Raw genomic sequence first — 20194 nt, 5'->3', positions numbered from 1 at the left:
AAAAAAAAAAAAAAAATTGTTGCAGATGTTCATCTCTGGAGAGTGGGTCTGGTGGGTGGGTTCAGAAAGACATTTTTAATTCTACACCACCTTATACTGTTTGCTTACCATGTGCATATGTTTCTTTAATTTTTTAAAATTGTAAATACTGCAAACAAAAAAACACCACAAAGTAATACATAATTACACAGCAAGTGAATAGGAGAGAAACCAACATTTATTGACGACCTCGTAGGAGCCAGGCATAACTCCCTACGGCCTCCCAATCACGACGGCCCCGCGGGTGTGGTTATGATGTTTCTGGCCCCTGGAAACCAGCCTGCAACCTCTCCTCATGCTGTTCTGCCACCTCAGGCAAACCCACAGTTGGCTCTGGCTCTGAGCTTTTTCTAGCATATGGGATGTGGCCAAATTTGGATTGTTTCCCAGGGAGGGTAAATAGCGTGTTGGAGATTGAGTTGAAACAACCAAACTCCTTTTTAGCAAGCCAATAGGATCAATCCAGGGCTTGTAAAGTACTACCTAAATCATCTGTAGTTCCTTTGACTGCTTCTTTCATCTTGAAGGCTATGAAACAAACATACACTTTACAACTTAATATATGCTGCTTTCAGAACTATTTACCCCACGTGGAAACCAAACACCCTGCAGAGCTTCCTCACTTTATTTCTGTGGATGGAAGGAAGTGCTTTCTATTAATATCATTGTTAATAAAAACAAATGAAAGATATGATTTCCATAAATTACAGTGAATGTATATTTTTATTAAACATTTATCAAATACTGCCCTCTGGTGGACAACTCAGTAAAACCTTGTGCTAAAAATAGATTTTTTAAAAATTTAAGTTGCCTTGCCAAGGCTAGAAAATTAAGTCTTAAGATGTGTTTTAAAAGAGAACAAAATAAATATAGGCATATGTTTTGAAATTAGATATTCACCATTTAGCAATCATTTCAATTACCTCTATCTTTCATAAAATGGTGACGTTGTCATTATTTTCTTAAATATTTACCTTGCTGGGAAAGTTTTACCTTAACACACAAATATAGCCTATTTTCCAAGGGAAACCTGAGTTAACCTCACAAAGACCCCAACAATTTTTTTAAATGTATACTCTTTAATAAAAGTTACATCTAGAGCTGTCTGGATATGCATAATCATTTTTAAATCATCTATCGGCAGTTCTGAGTTTTCATATTGTTGAACCAGAGCTTGAAAGTACAGCTTTTACAATGCAAGGGCATTTTAGCAACAAAGCAGGAGGAGGCCTGGGTTTGGTATTCTTCCCCTGGACTTTTCGGCAGCCACTTAGAAATGCTTTTGCTTTTCTGCCTCATTGCCTGAAAGTCATTCATCACTTAGTTTAATATAAATGGGGAGCCAAACATATACACACAGCCAAGATTTCTATGCTTTACAAATTATCATTTTCCAGCCAGGTCATACTGTGTATTTACAGTATAATTCTACCATCCTCACCCCCTACCTCCACCCTAGAAGGCCAGATTACTTTACCCAGACCTTCACAGAGCTATTCTTAACCCTACTGCCTACATGCAAGGGAGGAGGAAAGAGAACCCACGAGAGTTGAGCAACCTTCCAGCGCCTGGGGCAGAATCCCTGCAGCAGATCCCAACTCCCATTCTCATGCCTCATCCCCCAGATGGCTTTGACACCCTACCCATGCAAAGACAGGGAGAAAAAAAATACGTTTAAAATCTCAAAGAGCGTGCGTTTGGCACAGCAGGCTCTGCTCCACTTAACCTTTCTAAGCTGCGGTGCTTGGCATCCTGTTGCCCCAAACAGGTGACCTCCTCATGCGCTGACCTAGGTAGCTCAGATGTGCTCAGATGGCTCAGGTGAGCCCCGTGCACCGGAGGAGGCGCCAGGCGGGTGGCGCTGATGGGACCACGCTCGCCTCCCCTTCCAGGCTTGCCCTGCTGCTCCCCAGGGACGTTCCTCCCTGCAGGAGGTGCGGTCAAGGTGAAGACACAGCTGAGCTCAGCCAGTGCCTCAAAGTGGCCTTTACAACCTTGTACCCAGCTCAGCCACCTGGCCTCACACTCCAAATTCAGTGTTGTTTACCCTGTCTCAGCCCACCCTGTCCTCCTTACCTTCCACATTTAAAATTGCAAAAGCATAAGTAAACACCACAATGACACCCTTTGTTTGAAAAGTGTGATTTTGACATCCAAGAAGGAAAGCAGAAATAACTTGGAGAGAATTCAGATTTCCCATAGCACAGAGTTTTAGGAGAGATTCCCCAGTGGACCTGCCTGGGCCCCACCCACCCAGCCCCAATGTAACGCTCCCTGAGTTTCCTGCCATGCAGCTGTTATTATCACCTCTGTTATAAAACTCTCTCTCTTAACTTACAATTATCACCCCTTTCATCTTTGCTGAGGGGGTTCCCTTTGATCCAGAGGGTGGCTTCTTCCTGCTGTGAGCCTGGAGACGCCTCAACTGGTATTGCTGCCACACTTTCTTAAACTTCCAAATATTTTATCTGTCCTTCTCCTGCTCACTTTTTCTTGCTGGGAGAAACACATCCAGGGTGGAAGTGCTGCATGTGAACCAAGTTTGTTTTTTTTTTTAAACACAGACACCTGTGATAAGATGGCATGGACTATGAAAAAATATAATGGATAAAATAATGCTTGCACACATTTTGCTTAAAGCAGAAAGAGGAGAGGGAGGGGGTGGAAGATAAAGAAGGGGAGGGGAGGGGAGGGAACAATGAGAAAGGGAGAGGGAGAAGGAGAGAGAGGGAGAGAAAACCCTTCTCACGTTAGGCCACATAGGAATAAAGGCAGGAAGAACCCCCAGTTCTCTTCTCCATAATCTGCGGACCAGCTGCAGACCATGCAGGACCCAGTACACAATGAAAATGTACGGCCTTTTGTTCAAAAATGAGGAAGAATTTCAAATTACAGCAGAGCATCAAACTAAGAATGAGTTCTTCTGAGTCCTATTCGACTCTGCTATACCAGTCCCATGCCCACGAAGCCGGCTCTGCTTCCTACCAGAAATCAAAACAGCAGCCTTGCTGTATGAGCGACTATTTTGGATTTTTTTCTCCAGCATGGACAGCCCGGCAATGGTGACTGGCTTGTCCTGGTTTGCCCGGGACTATCCTAGATGTAGCAGTGCAAAATCCACATCCTGGTATTCCCCTTAGTCCCAGGCAAATCAAGACATTTGGTCACCATCCCCTACTGTATAGACCAGTTTTAATGATAAAGCTATCCTCTGACTTTCCACCGCTCTTAACTTCATGTCAGAACCGGCAGTGGTTTTAGGCCAATCCCCATCTCTGCAGCTGGTAGGAAGTTATTCCAAGTGCCCACAGATTTATTCCTTTATTTATCATGTCCCCAGACAGGAGGCTGCTGAACCATGATTCTGAGCTCACGTGTGTCAGAAGGATGCCAAAAATGGTGTTCATATGAAGCAGAACCTCTTAGACTTTCCTGTAACTCAACTTTAGGAAGAAAACTGCATTTCAGGGTTTGGTGGCGGTGCATTTTACAGTCTTTTTGTTTTAAGGTGTGATAATACTCCAATGATTGTGTGAAATATCATCTCTCTTAAAACAATCATGTATTATATAATGTCTGTCTGTGAAACAAATTATTTTTTAATTCATTAAAATTAACACAAAATATACCCACGTAAACCTAATGAACTGCCATTTTGTTCTGGAGGGACAATATAAGCTAAAAATTAAACTTCACAGGCTCATTTATTGTTACACATGAATGGAGCCTGGGCATAGTGACTCATGCCTATAATCCTAGTGCTTTGGCAGCCCAAGGCAGGAGGTTCACTTGAGCCTAGGTGTTCAAGACCAGGCTACACAACACAGGGAGACCCCATCTCTACAGAAGAAAATTAGCCAGGCATAGTAGCACACACCTGTAGTCCTAGCTACTCAGGAGGCTGAGACAAGAAGGTTGTTTCAGCCCGGGAGTTTGAGTCTGCAGTGAGCCAGGATCCTAGATGCAGAGTGAGATCCTGTCTCTAAAATAATAAAAAAAAATTTAAAAATTACTTGAGCACTCACCAAGCACTTTGCTGGGCCTGGAGATATCTTGATGAATACAGTGCCATCTCCTCCTTGGAACTGCTTATAGGTTAATACTTAGATGTTCTTAGTAATGTACTAATGCCAAGATTAGTCCATTTCCTCCTTACACAGTTACTCAGCCATGCTTGAGTTTGCCTGCTGCTCCCTACTTCATAATTTCTCCCCACATAGTTAACAGTCAATGCTTCAGTTAATTTCTGACATATTTTTCACTGAGAAAATAGATGCCACTGGCTGGGCACGTGGCTCACGCCTGTAATCCCAGCACTTTGGGAGGCTGTGGCAGACAGATCACCTGAGGTCAAGAGTTCGAGACCAGCCTGGCCAACATGGAGAAACCCCATCTCTACTAAAAATACAAAAATTATCCAGGCATGGTGGCACATGCCTATAATCCTAGCTACTCAGGAGGCTGAGGCAGGAGAATCGCTTGAACCCAGGAGGTGGAGGTTGCAGTGAGCCAAGACTATACCATTGCACTCCAGCCTGGGCAACAAGAACAAAACTCCATCTCAAAAAAATATATATATATATAGATGCCGTTGCCCAGAACCTCCTGAAGCCTCCCAAAATCAAATGGACCAACCTACCTGCCTTCATCCATTCCCCACTCTGCTGGCCTCCTTCCTATAAGCCCCAATGCAGAGCCTGGTCCCATCATAGTCCAATCCTCCACCAGATATTCTGCAGTTCATCCCTCTTGTCTCCTGAAGGACTTACCTTCTAGAGCCAAACTACTTTGAAGTATTTGTTCTGTCTTGCAGTTCACCTTCCAAAAAAGGTAGTTGTCAAAGTGGGGCCTCTAACCTGTCAGTATCAGCATCACCTGAGACTTGTTAGAAATACTGATACTTGGGCTTTGGTGGCTCACGCCTGTAATCCCAGCACTTTGGGAGGCTGAGGTAGGAGAATTGCTTGATGCCAGCCTGGGCAACATGGCAAGATCCCTATCTCCACAAAAGAAAGGAAATTAGCCAGGCATGGTGGTGCATGCCTATAGTCGTGTCCTAGCTACTCAGGAGGCTGAGGCAAGAGCATTGCTTGAGCCCAGGAGTTCGAGGTTACAGTGAGCTATGATCACACCACTGCACTCCAGCCTGGGCAACAGAGTAAAAGTTTCTCTCTAAAACAAATTAAAAATTAAATTTAAGAAAAAAAGCCCTCTGGTGTTCCTGATGTATGCTAAAGCTTGACAGCTGTGGATCTATGGCTGAAACTCCTCAATGTTCCTCCACACCACCTCTGAAGTGTCCAAGGCAAGGTGGATAGCTCACCAGTACCCTAACGAGAGAGCTCGCTGGAGCAGGCTGGAGGCCGCTGTCCTCAGCCCTCTCCCGATCCTATTTTTATTAATGACTTGGATGGAAGTACTGAGGGCACGCTGATCTCATTAACAGATGACAGATAGCTGGATGGGGTAAAGGAGATGTTGAATGATGACATCAGGACCCAAAGACACAAAGTGACGGTCCAAATCTATCAAGACGAAACTTAATAGGGGATATTAGTTAGAATTAGATTCCACTTTGAGTGACAGAAAACCCAAAATAGCACTGGCTTATTAAGATAGAAATTTATTTCTCATTCACATAAATGAACTCTGGAAGTATCAGGCCACAGTCAATGTGGTGGCTCTGTTCCCTGGAGTTCTGAGGATTCAAGCTCCCCATCCAACTCACTACCATCCTACTCATCCAACTCATCCACCATTCCTACGGCCTCTTCCTCAAGCTGAAGATGGAGACATCCATGTTCCAGATAGCACAACGGAGAAAGGTTGGAGAACAGCGTCCATTCTTGCTGGTTTTTGAGGGTTCCACATGCTACTGCTGTGCTTCTGCTTGCATCCTATTGGCCAAAGTTGTGCCTATTGGCACAGAGGCAATGGACACTAAGAATTGTAGTCTATTTGTCTAAGCAGCTCAGCTAAAAATGCTATTACATGGACAAAAGAGAGAGCAAATATTGGGACACAATAAGCAGTCTCTGCCAACCAAAGCAAAAATAAAGCCTGTCGGGCTGGGTGTGGTGGTTCATGCATATATTCCCAGCACTGTGGGAGATCATGGTGGGAGGATCACTAGAAGCTAGGAGTTCAAGAGCAGCCTGAGCAACGTAGCAAGACCCTGTCTACAAAAACAATAAAAATCAGCCAGGTGGCCAAATGTGATGGCTCACACCTGTAATCCCAGCACTTTGGGAGGCTGAGGCAGGCAGATCCCAAGGTCAAGAGATCGAGACCATCCTGGCCAACACAGTGAAACTCCGTCTCTACTACAAATACAAAAATTAGCTGGGCGTGGTGGCGCACTCCTGTAGTCCCAGCTACTCGGGAGGCTGAGGCAGGAGAATCACTTGAACCAAGGAGGTGGAAGTTGCCATGAGCCAAGATCACACCACTGCACTCCAGCCTGGTGACAGAGTGAGACTCGGAGACTCTGTCTCAAAACCAAAAAAAAAAAAAAAATTAGCCAGGCATGTTGGCATGCACCTATAGTACCAGCTACTCAGGAGGCTGAGGCAGGAGGATCTCCTGAGCCCAGGAGTTTAAGGCTGCACTGAGCTACGATCATGCCACTGCACTCCAGCCTGGGTAACAGAGTAAGATCCTGTCTCAAAGCAATTAAAAATAAATAAACAAAAGCCCTTCATATAATCCCTAAAATGCAAACGCCCCTCCAAGGTTTTGGTGTTAAAGAAGGAGGTAGGCAGTAATAACCACACAAGCAGTCCTCAGCTGTTCCCGTGCGAAGACAGAAAACCCAAGCCATACTGGGTTTTAAGTAAAAAGAGAAGATGTGGGATACATAACTGACATTTCCAGAAACAGTATTAGCTTCAGGAATGTCTCAAATGATGTCAGCAAAATTTGACTCTCTTCCTAGCTCAGCTCCACAGCCTCCCATGCTAGGTTTATTCCTGGGCTATACATGGTGGCAAGATGTCCATCAGCAGGTCCAGGTTCCCATCTCCTGGACCTTTGGTGAGAGCAGGGAGAGAGTCAAGTTCACGCTCCTCTACCCTCACCTCCACTCATTCTTCAGGTCAGCTTCCTCCAGCAAGGTGGTTCTCAACCCTGGCTATGCATTTTTAGATTCCTGATGCCCAGGATCCCATCCCCAAATCTGGTTTTATTGTTTCACGGTAGGGGACTGGCACTTTAAAAATCTCCCCAGTGATTCTCTGCTGATTCTCCTGAGCATCCAGGGTGGAGAACACCTGCTCTCACATTGTGGGAAAATGGACTCTTTCCCTCTCTGGAGTCACTTCCCGAGATGCTCTCTGTGGAGGTCATGCGTCTCCATCAAGTTCTGCCTCACCGTGGCCCCTTCACTGTACTGCTGGTCACCATGTCACCCCCTGCACCTGTGTTCCCTTCATGGGATCCAGCTTTTCTTTATGGGGCCTGAGGGAGAGAAAGCCAAGGAGGCACCTCTTGACTGTCCTACCCTTCCATCTCTCCAATCACCTGGTTATCAAGGTTGACTTTCTTTTATTGAAGGACTGGGGAAATTTTAAAAGGGAAATACCAGTAAGAAGAAAAATATTCTACATTTTGGGGCCATCTGCTCATAGTCTATAATGGAAATTGAGGACTAGGACTTGAGGAATGTCAACAATAAAAGCTCCATAGCAAGGATTAGCCCATCAAAGAAACCGTGAAGGATTAGCTAGAGAGGCCACAGGAAACCCACAAGAGCACAGACTTCTGGAAGAAAACAGAGGCTGGAAATGATCAGAGACTAAGTGACTTACTGCTCCATTCTTCTGTCTAGCGACCCTTACCTGTCATCCACACTGGTGACTACTTCTTTCAATGAAATACAAAATTCCAAATTTCACATGAAGCTCAAGTTACTACCTTTTGGCTGGGCATGGTGGCTCACGCCACTTTGGGAGGCCAAGGTGAGAGCGTTGCTTGAGCACAGGAGTTTGAGAGCAGCCTGAGCAATATAGCAAGATCCCCGTCTCAATTTTTTAAAAAGTTACTACCTTTTGACACGTTATGAGTAGATATTCAGATTTCTTTACAATAAAACAGGGGCTCATGAAAGGCTAGATCTTAAAAGATAGGGCTCCTCAAATCCCACAAATATTAAATCAGATGTCTGTGGTTCCCAAACTATGTGCTGAGGTACGCTGGGTCACTGTAGTGAAGAAGATGAGCACTGCAGGAGGTTTCAAGCTTTTGAGGGAAACAAGGTGACATCTGCCAGGCACTGTACAAATGCTACCATTAAGTTATTTGGACTTTAATAAACCAAAATGTTTTATATCTATATTTGTATATATATATGTGTGTGTGTGTGCATATATATAAAAATCTATATATATATATATAAATCTATATATATAAATCTATATCTGTATATATAAATCTATATCTATATATATATATAAATCTTTTGGCCTAGGGCCCATGCATAAATAACTGAATGACTATAGCTATGAACTGAGAAAGTTTGGGAACTTCTAAAATAGGTAACTGATTGACCACAGCAGACCAATAGCTCTCTCTCTCTTCATCCTACTTGGCATCATTGCAGCTGTCAGCCTAAAAATATGACACCCCAAAAGCACAAGTATTTTTTCCTTTTTACAGCTCTAAGGGAATTGTTTCTGTTCAGAAACTATAAACAACCTATGGGTTGAGAGAAATTAGAATGTACAATAGAAATAATCTAAATAACGTACTAAATTAAAATATTTTATTTCAAACCATGACACATCTGAAGAAACTGAATTTACATTCAGAATATTTTCAGATTTTATATGCTTTGCCTTCAGCCAAGCACTTCAGGGTAGGTGTTTTAAAATCAAACAAGGAAATAAAACCATGAGGTTATAATCATAGGCTATATCCTGTTTATGTCAATTAAATTTGTTCAATCTCACAACCAAAGAGCAAATGTCTAATTCTGGTTTTCTATCTGTGTGTGTCAGGATAGTCTTGACTGTGTTTCAGTAAGTCCCCAAAAGGGAAACGCTAAAATATCAGTGGATGAACTGAAAAAAAAAAAAAAAAGCCTTATTTCTCACTTACAGAAGTCTGCTGTGGTTTAAATGTCTTTCTTCCATTCTGTAGCTATGTCAACTGAAACACCTGGCCTTCAGAGTCATGAGTCAAGGAAAGAAAGAGAGGCAGGAAGCATTACTAGCTCTTAATTGCCACAGCCTAGGAGTGACACAGGTTACTCCCATTCACAGTTCATTGGCCAGAACTTGTCATGTGGCTATACCCTCTCTGCAAGAGATGCTGGGAAATGCAGGGGAGACCATGGAGACTTGGAGAGCACTCTCTCTCCCTGCCACAATCCACTTAGTTATAGAACAGCAAGAGAGAATATGAATTCAATAATTCATTCATTCATTCACTAGACGATATTTATTGAGGACCTGCTATGTGTTGGATGTTGTGCTTATGTTCTAGTAGGGAATGATAGACAAGAAACAAGATAGCAAAAAATAAACAAGAAGATAATCACAGATTGTGGTGTGCACTCTTAATTAAATTGTTCAACACAGCTTCTCTGCTATAGCGACGTTTTGTCAATTTTTAGATTCTGTGTGGATGCTGATGAATCAACAGTAAGACTATTTGCTATTAATCATATCACCTCTCCTGCCATGACTGGACCTCCATGTTGGAATTCCATCAGATTTGATTTATTGACAAGCAAAGTTTCAAAATATGTTAAACTTAATTTTAAATTGAGGTTAAAAAATGTTATGCACATAATAATTTCATCCCAAGAACTGGACTCTATGAGACAATATGGAAATCCATACATTATTATGCTAACATAGCAATTCCTGGCCGTTGAGATTATATGTAATTTTCTTTTTTTCATTTACAGCAACTCATATATATTTTCTAATTCATCTTTAAGAAACATTGGTTATTTATTAATATAATAATGAAAAATAAAATGTATAAAGACTGTCTATGTGGGTTAAAAGGCTAAATAACTTATAGGTTATACAAATTATCCCAGGAGAACAAAGGTGTAATTTTTTGAGTTTGCTATTGGGAAAGTCAAGAAAGCAGCCACATTTGGAACACGTGGGGGTGTTCTCAGAGTTAGGATTCTTTTTCTCTTGTGGGATGGGAAAATTGGGCTTTCTTGGAAGAGAGAAAAAAGAGATAATAGTATGATGCTCTACGAAAAGGGAATATAGCTGTTCTGGAATAAATCTGAAAAGGTTTTTTACTTCTAAGTCCATGCTGTATAACATCATCAGCCCACAGGGAGGGAGTGTGCCAGTTACCTGCATGACAATGCAATTCAGTGTAAGACCTAAAGATGCTGGAAATCAGCACACTCTGTGAGGTTTGGGGAGAATGGGGCGGGGGGGAGCCCCATTTGCTGAGGCCCAAGCAATAAGCATGAGAAAGCACAGGATGAGTCCAGAGTCACAGTTCATTTACCCAGTGAGGTCAACGAACAAGGGAAGATGACAAATTTGCCTGGAGATTCTTCTGGGCATTAGAACAATAATAACTACAGTAATGGTGATGATGAGGATGCGCAGTTCTGGAGTCTTAATAGAATGCCAGGAAATGTACTACAGGTGTTATTTGCAATATCTCATTCAAGGTATTGTTTACAGGTTCATTCATATCCATGTTATAGATTCCACTATTTTAATGTCTTGGCCTGCTCTGTGGGAGCATCGTCACAGGAGGGTGAGGTGTGGAAGAATACTTCAAGGTTCAGGCAGGTAACAATTCCCAGGTGCAAAGAGGCAGGAGCCCAGAAAGCGCAGGCAGCGAGCCCACGCAGCAAGCGATATGGAGGTTACATTAATAATAAATATATAAAGTGATTTACTATTTCTGGATGGGAAAAAATTCTTGATGGGAAAGAATTCTTTTTCTTACTCGGGAATTCTCCACTGAATGCTAAGTGAAGACTAAAGAACTGGAATCATAAAAGAAGGCATATGGGGAATGATCCAGAACGTGGCAAATTATCCTTGCTCTTTTTTTGCTGCATTCCATTAAGCACTTATTCCGTTCCCTTCCCATCTTGGGGCACAATTCTGGGACTGTGGAAACATCTTTAAGCCAAAAGTGAGGGCCAGGAAGGAAAATGTTAAGAAGTATCTTGAATGGCTGTTTCTCTAGGCACAGGCAATAGAACATATCTGAAAGGAGAGCCAAAAAACTGTCCATAATCAAACACACTATTTCCACAGCATGGCCGGGTGCAGTGGCTCATGCCTGTAATCCCAGCACTTTGGGAGGCTGACGCAGGCAGATCACCTGAGGTCAGGAGTTTGAGACCAGCCTGACCAACATGGTGAAACCCCATCTCTCCTAAAAATACAAAAATTAGCTGGGCGTGGTGGTGCACGCCTACAGTCCCAGCTACTCGGGAGGCTGAGACAGGAGAATCCCTTGAACCCAGGAGACGGACGTTGCAGTGAGCTGAGATCATGCCACTGCACTCCAGCCTGGGTAACAGAGTGAGACTCTGTCTTAAAGAACAACAACAACAAATATTTCCATAGCAACAAAATAAGAGCTTCATGTCTGCTCAGGCCATGTTTTATATATTTTGTAAAGTACTCATTTACACCTAAAATTGCTAATTCTCCAGAGTTCTGGCTCTTTTGTCATCTCTTTCACTGCATTATTAGCCTGGCACATCCCTTCAGCAGCTCCAAATAACATGTGTGCTTTACCTACACTTTAAAATTTTCTTTTTTAAGATAGCAGTTTTTTTCAAACTTTAGTTTTTAGAGTTTGAGGATTTGGGAACTGTGATTAAAGAGTTGTAATAGGAATGTGTAATTAAAATTTTTACAATGTATATGTACTTTTTCAGCAAAAGTATTAATGATTTCTAAACAATGTTTGTTTGTGAAACTAACTAACAGGTAAAACTCTAGTTTCTGGCTATCTGGCAGCCATAGCCTCTGAATGTCTTTCATGTAGGCTATAAACTAACAAGCTTCAGTCCTTTAATTTAAATTTCTCTCTTCCACTTGTTTTCTAGACAACACCCCCTTTATCTGTTTGTCCTTCCTGTTTTCCTGAAACACCTTGAGTCTCTCCAGGGTGGGCAGATACCGTAGCCTAGGCCTGCCTTGTACCTGAGTCTCTGCCCTCACTTGTAACAGGACCCACATTGACAGTGATTGCCTACTCTTTGGTTCTGAGCTGCAACAAGATATTCTATGGATTTTGGCAGTAGAGAGTCAGAAAAGAGGCTGCCAGCCCTGTGTGCCTCCTATCACCTCTGTGGTTTCGAGAAAGTCACAGAAGCCATCTGGAATCGTGTGGGGAAGTCTGTCCAGCACTTCCTCTCAATGCCTTCCCCTGCCGGGCTGAACAGCCATCTCTGAATCTGTCTATTCCAGGGGGTCACAGAGGGGACCTCATCAACGATTTTCCATCAAGGCTCGAGTAGGGGGGAGGTTCAACTTGCCAACTGAAACAAGTTTACGGATTTAAGATAAAGGCATCAGGCTGGGCGCGGTGGCTCAGGCCTGTAATCCCAGCACTTTGGGAGGCCGAGGCAGGTGGATCACCTGAGATCAGGAGTTCGAGACCAGCCTGACCAACATGGAGAAACCGCATCTCTACTAAAAATACAGAAATCAGCTGGGTATGGTGGCAGGCACCTGTAGTCCCAGCTACTCAGAGGCTGAGACAGGAAAATCGCTTGAACCGGGGAGGCAGAGGTTGCAGTGAGCTGAGATTGCATTCATGAGACTCCATCTCAAAAAATAAAAATAAAGAAAGATAAGACATCACAGCAAGTAACAGAACACTTTTCTGGAAGTCTGTGCTGTTACAGGTAAAACCAAAGATGTATTGCGTGAGCAACCTGCTTAGGCCCTGGTTTCCTCAAGGACAAAATGGTCTCCAAGAGGCCAACGTAAAAATTATGTAGTGCTGAAGAATTCTAGCTCTTGGCCTGGCACAGTGGCTCATGCCCGTAATTAAGCACTTTGGGAGGCCGAGGCAGGCAGATCACTCGAGACCAGGAGTTCAAGATCAGCCTGAGAGACATAGCAAAACCTTGTCTCTACAAAAAATAGAGAAAAGTTACCTGGGTGTGGTGGTGCACACCTGTAGTCCCAGCTACAGGGGACTGAGGTGGGAGGATTGCTTGAGCCCAGATTGAGATAGTGCCACTGCACTTCAGCCTGGGTGACAGAGTGAGACCTTTTTTCAAAAAAAAAAAAAAAAAGAAAAAAAGAAAGAAAGAAAGAAAGAAAGAAAAATAAAAAAAGAAAAAGAGAGGTCTGGGTCTCTTGAAGTCTTTTTGACTGCACAGCAGTCTAGCGTGCCCTTCGAATGGCCGCTGGACTTCACCCACGCTTTATAATGATCTTCTCTTAAGACAAAGGCTCTGAGGCTGGGTGCAGTGGCTCACGTCTGTAATCCCACCACTTTGGGAGGCCAAGGCGGGCAGATCACTTGAGGTCAAGAGTTCCAGACCAGCCTGGCCAACATGACAAAACCCCATCTCTACTAAAATATGAAAAATTAGCCGGGCATGGTGGCGGGTGACTGTAATCCCAACTACTCAGGAGGCTGAGGCAGGAGAATCACTTGAACCCAGGAGGTGGAGCTTGCAGTGAGCTGAGATCGTGCCACCACACTCCAGACTGGGAGACTCCGTCTCAAAAAAAAAGACAAAGGCTCTGGAAGCCGACCTTTCTAAAACCATCTCTAGTGTTTTCTCCCTTAAAAGAAACTGACTTTTGTCCATGCAAAAGGGACTTTCCAGCAAGTGATGTCAGAGCCTGAGATGGATGCACAGAGCACCCACATGTGGGGGTGTCGTGGCAGGTGTCAGAGGGGTTTTGGAGCCCAAGCAGGGTGGGGAAACTGTCTACCAGAGGGGTGGGGGTGGAGGCAGCATGGAGGGTCAGAGGACTGATGGGATGAGGAGATGTCCATGCTGGGGAGGAGGCAGCAGAGGTGACATGAGATTGGTTGCATGTAGAAATATTGATAAAATAGGTAAATACATTAAGGGTAGTAGAACCAGCTTGAACCCTGTGATGTCAGTGTGACCTTATGGTTTTGGGGTTTTGTTTTTTTCAGATGGGGCCTCACTATGTTGTCCAGGCTGGTCTTGAACTCCTAGGCTCAAGGAATTCTCCTGCCTCAACCTATTGAGTAGCTGGGATTACAGGCACTCACCACTGTGCCCAGCTTTTTTATGGTTTTTGATATGTAGGTAGGTAGATAGATACTTAGATACATAAATACAGATGAAAGAGATGCTTAGATACAGAAACAAATGTGTGTGTGTGTGTGTGTGTGTGTGTGTGTGTGTTCCCTGGCTCTGTCTAGTGAAAGGGCCTAGGAGCAGTGAGCACAGCCCAATTGCAATGAGCACATCCAGCATGCAGATCTTGTTCTTAAATATCATTCTCTCCAAAAGTCAACCCAGGCTTCTTGGAGAAATGGCTATTTCCAAGGCGGAGGCAGGAAAATTATAGGATGACCTGGAAGATCTTGTTGATCCAGAAATCAAGGAAATGCTCAAAGACTGATAAGGCATGTCAAAGGGACACAGGAGCCAGTTTGAAGGGGCCCTCAGTGGCCGAGTCTGAGGCAATTTGAGTATCAAAATAAATTGTGATAACAACTTATTATAACCCATTGAATGAAACAGAAAACTGTGAGTCCATGTTGATACAAATAAATTCAAAATTTGGCAAGGAACAGGATATTTACAGTTTCAAAGTGCCTCCCCACAAAACACTTATTAACTAAATAGTGATTAACTACACATGGTCAAAGAGTAACTTTATAATGAAAAGCCTAGCACCACCTTAAATCAGGTGATCAAGTAAACACCATAATAAATGGGATAAATCAACATTGTGTGCTCCCTGATAGGAGGCAATGAGGAAAACACAGTATTGCTTTCATAATAATCAAATAACTGTCTGTATTCTTCAAAAGTATCAAGGTTATGAAAGTCAAGGAAAGACTGGGGAAGTGTTCCAGATGGAAAGAGATGACACCTAAATCCAATGCTGGATTCCAAACTTGTTTTGTTTTGTTTTTAACCATTTAAAACAGTTGGCAATACTTGACTGGGTCTGAGGATTAGACGGTAGAAATGTATCAGTGTTAGTTTCCTGCCTTGAATGAGTGGGCTATGGTGATGTGGGAGAATGTCCTTGTTTGAGAAAATGAATACTGAAGTTTTCAGCGGGGGTAAGCATTAGTTTGGCAACTTACCCTCAAATGGTTATCAAAAAGAAAGAGGTTTTTTTTCTGTAGTTGTAACTTTTCAGTCAACTCCTTCAAAATAAAATTTGTATTAAAAAGAAACTACTAGCCAGGGGCCATGGCTTATACCTGTAATCCCAGCATTTGGGGAGGTTGAAGTGGGAAGATCACTTGAGCTCAGGAGTTCGAGACCAGCCTGAGCAACATGGGGAGCCCTCATCTCTATAAAAAATATAAAAATTAGCTGGACATCGTGGCACGTGCCTGTAGACCCAGCTACTCAGGAGGCTGAGGTGGGAGGACAAATTGAGCCCCCGAGTTCAAAGCTGCAGTCAGCTGTCATCGCATCACTGCATTCCACCCTGGGCAACAGAGCAAGACCTTGTCTCAAAAGAAAGAAAGAGAGAAAAGGGAGAGAAAGAGGAAGGAAGGAAGGTCATCAACTAAGGTAAACTGAGGGTATCTCTGTTGCTCAAAATCTAAAGTACCTAACAATCAAGATTGAGATCTTTCCCTTGACTGGCACTCCCAAAATATTATTTAATAATATTACTCCTTTATCTCGTAACCTTAACTATTATTCCATATGTCTTATTGTATCCTTTACAAAACATGGTTGACAAAATTAGGGCCCAACACTTTTATTTTTCCTTGCCCTCTTTTGAATATCTTTGCTGTCATTTATTTTCCATTTAGAATTGAAGTAGTGTAGCCACAAACATAATCATCCCCTTTGACCTGATAATTCCATGCCTGAGAATTTTGTCCCAGAAAATAACTCAGAAGAAGACAAAAGAAATGCAAATGATCTTCATTACCACATTACTCATGCAATCCCATAGTTTTGCCTGTACTCAAGCATAGCATTACAAGAAATAAAGCAATCCTATTACTGGCCCATCAAAAAGGCAAATGGCCCCCAGAAGATGGTGAACATATTACCTCAGTTTTCATCCAGACATTGTAGAGGGCAACTGTTGCTTTTACCTGGCCAGCATTCATTCCCCTTTCTTCTGGTGACAATACCTTGAGTTTGCTTTGAGCAATTACCCCTCTGCCATTGTACACAGGCTACAAGTGACTGTCCAAGAACCCTGACCTCCCCTGGCCAAGCCTAGCTAAACCAGAGACTGAGGCTAATTTATCCTGAGGGCCTAATGCTGGAGAATGGCCATTAGTTCCTTCCCCCTGGAGCTCTGAAACTTCTCTGTTTCTGCTCTAAGTCTAGTTCATGCATTTATTTTTAAATCCTGTGACCTACCCATATTTTTTCTTTCCTTTTTTTTTTTTTTTGTGTGGTGGAGGAGACAGGGTCTCACTTTGTCACCCAGGCTGGAGTGCAGTGGTGTGATCATAGTTCACGGCAGCCTCAACCTCCTCGGGCTCAAGCAATCCTCCCACCTCAGCCCTCAGAGTAGCTGGGACCACACGCACAAGCCACTGTGCCTGGCTAATTTTTTTATTTTTTGTAAAGACGGGGTCTCACTATGTTGCCCAAGCTGGTCTCGAACTCCTGGACTCAAGTGATTCTCCCACCTTGGCCTCCCAAAGTGCTGGGATTATAGGCCTGTGCCACCATGCCCAGCCCCATATTTTTTCAATGCTTAAGTTATCTGTATTTGGTTTGTTTTTTTTGTTTGTTTGTTTTTAAGACAGGGTCTCATTCTTTGTTGCCCAGACAGGAGTATGATCTTGGCTCACTGCAGCCTCAACCTGCCAAGCTCAAGTGATCCTCCCACCTCAGCCTCCTGAGTAGCTGGGACTACAGGCAGGCAACATCACGCCCAGCTAATTTTTGTATTTTTTGTAGAGACAGGGGTCTCCCTACATTGCCCAGGCTGGTCTTGAACTCCTGGGCTCAAGTGATCCCTCCACCTAGGCCTCCAAAATGCTGGGATTATAGGTGTGAGCCACCACACCCAGCCTAGTTTCTATTTTGTGAAACCATAAAACCCTCACTGTCCATCCAGATTCTTCCATGAATACGTTTCCAAAAATTTTTTTTCTACATTTTCCCTCCGTCTTTGTCTTTTAAAAAAATATTTCCTCTTCCTTTCCTCCAGAGTACATGTTTCTTCTTGCATCACCCATAAAGTGAAAGCATCTCCAACCTGACAGAAGTAGCAGGTCCTTACCATGCTTCATGGGGGAAGCATTCGCCTTTGAGATTCTTCAGAGGAGAACAACTACCAGAAAAACAAGCCTTTCTCTTTCTGACATCGACTACCTCTCATAGCAAATTTTTATTCTACTAACAGTTCTTTTCATTCTGTCTATAAAATATCTTCTCTCACAGAAGGTGAAAAGGGAAAGAAAAAAATGGGTGTGAAGGTAAAAGAAAATCTCATCTTGGAAATGGATGCCTGGAGAACGGAAATCCAGTGATCAAAACTGACTCGAGAAGAGAGAACCTAATGAACAATAACAATGGAAGAAATTGGGAACATTATCAAAAAGCTATCATCCTGCCAAACTCCAGGCTCAGATGATGTTACAGGTTTTAAAAAGTCCTTCATGAAAAAGAAAGATCTTAAGCAACATGATGGATTCAGAAGCTCATGAAAAGAGGCTGCCAATACTAATATCTTCAAAACAAGATATATCACCTCATATTACAAATGTTGGTGAAATGAAGCATTATTTGTGTGGCTGCTGTGCAGCCTTCAACAACATCACAATCACATTTCCCATTCAGAAGGTCCTCTTTTGACAACAGCTGTATAGCATCAAAACTCGTGATGCAATACTTCAGTTGAGAAGGGTTGGATTTCAAAACTTGTATCGTGGAATCCTTCCCCCATTGATGCAGAAGACAACTACACTTGCACTTATGTTTGGTCTCTATAAGGATTTATCCTACCTTCTCCACAAGCATGTCAGTGCTCCAGAGTTTGCAGCCCGTGGTGTGGCGGCAGTGCTTTCAGGGACAACAGAAGCAATTTTCACTCCTCTGGAAAGAGTTCAGACATTGCTTCAAGACCACAAGCATCATGACACATTTACCAACACGTATCAGGCTTTCAAGGCACTGAAATGTCACAGAATTGGAGAGTATTATTGAGGCTTGGTGCCCATTCTTTTCTGGAATGGACTCAGCAATGTCTTGTTTTTCGGCCTTCGAGGTCCCATTAAGGAGCATCTGCCTACCGAAATGACTCACAGTGCTCATTTGGTCAATGATTTTATCTGTGGAGGTCTATTGGGTGCCATGTTGGGATTCTTGTTTTTTCCAATTAATGTTGTAAAAACTCACATATGGTCTCAGATTGGTGGGGAATTTCAGTCTTTCCCCCAGGTTTTCCAAAAAGTCTGGCTGGAATGGGACAGAAAACTGATAAATCTTTTCAGAGGTGCCTATCTGAATTACCATCGGTCCCTTATTTCTTGGGGCATAATCAATGCAACTTATGAGTTCTTGTTAAAGATTATATGCAAAAAAAATCAGTTAAGTGCCATTTATCAACTGAATAGACATTCTAAGAAGAATGCAGCTTGGTCTCTTTCTTAATTGGCCAAGTACAAGTTGGTGTCATAACTCCAGGCCACAGTGAGTTATGGGCAAAGCTGTTTTCCTTAAGCATCAACAAAACAGAATAAAAGGTTCCAATTGGACAAAAAAAAAAAAAAAAAAAGAAAATCCCATCTTGCCACATTTGGAAGAGAGTAAATTAGAAATAATTTAAGTGTCCAAGAGATTGGTACAAGAACATCTACTTACTCAACGAAGCCATTAAAAATAATTATTATAAGTCCGGGTGCGGTGGCTCAAGCCTGTAATCCCAGCACTTTTGGGAGGCCAAGGCGGGTGGATCACCAAAGGTCAGGAGTTTAAGACCAACCTGGCCAACATGGTGAAACCCCGTCTCTACTAAAAATACAAAAAATTAGCCAGGCGTGGTGGTGGGCACCTGTAATCCCAGCTACTCAGGAGGCTGAGGCAGGAGAATCGCTTGAACCCAGGATAGAGAGGTTGCAGTGAGCCAAGATCCAGCCACTGCACTCCAGCCTGGGCAACAAGAGTGAAACTCTGTCTCAAAAAAAATTAAAAAAAAATAATTATTATACCATATGCCAGATAATTATTACACCACAACCAAACATAACCCCAATACTTACCAAATAGAACACTTTGCTATAACAGCAAGAGTTCCCCAAGGAAAAGAAATAAATACAAGATGAAGCATGAAAAATCAGCCATAAGCAAAAATGGCTGCCTTGGTGGCATACTACAAAAAACTGAAAACCTCTTATAGAAGGGTAAGAAACTTCCTCATAGAAGAAGGAGACTGCCAAGACAGCGATTAAAATCCATGAACAAGTGAATTCTTAAACTCTACTAGCTTTTGTTTTACATCTGCCCAGCCCAACTTTGTCCCCACTTTTTCTAGGAACAAATTCATGCAAGGTAACTGACCTGGACTGGAATCCTGGCGGAACCTTCTTCCTGCCTGCTGTGATGGTCTAGGGATGAGCTTGTGACTCAACTAGGGAGATGTTTCTTCTGGAGCCAATAAGAAATCCTGTTCCCTCTTTGATCTTAAGCTATACTCAGGTAACCTCAGCTTGGTCAGCAGCCATCTCACTTTATGGAGGAGCCTGAGAGAATGATCAGGGATAAGCCAATCCTGGGATGCAGGAGCCGTCCCCAAGTGTCTGCAGCTGCCCTCAGTCTCGCAGCACAGCAGTTCTGTGATACCTTCCATCAAAGCCTCATTTCTCCTTAAATTGGATGAGATTCTGCCACAGGTGAGAGTCCCACCCGACACCATCATCCACCTAAACAAACAGTGGCCAAATGTATCTCTGGAATCACTGTCATATCCAGAGTGTTTGCATGACTTTTGGTACCCAGTAATTTCAACCTCGGTGGAGGTCTAAAGTGACTCATGTGCATAGC

General features: G+C 43.0%; 1 pseudogene; it reads left to right on the top strand.

Moving 5' to 3' along the window:
- Nucleotides 17670-18783, top strand: SLC25A51P3 (SLC25A51 pseudogene 3; annotated as a pseudogene).

The sequence above is a fragment of the Homo sapiens genome, chromosome 8 (genome assembly GCF_000001405.40).
Source record: "Homo sapiens chromosome 8, GRCh38.p14 Primary Assembly".
Taxonomy (NCBI): Eukaryota; Metazoa; Chordata; class Mammalia; order Primates; family Hominidae; genus Homo; species Homo sapiens.
This window is presented reverse-complemented; position numbering and strand designations above follow the sequence as displayed.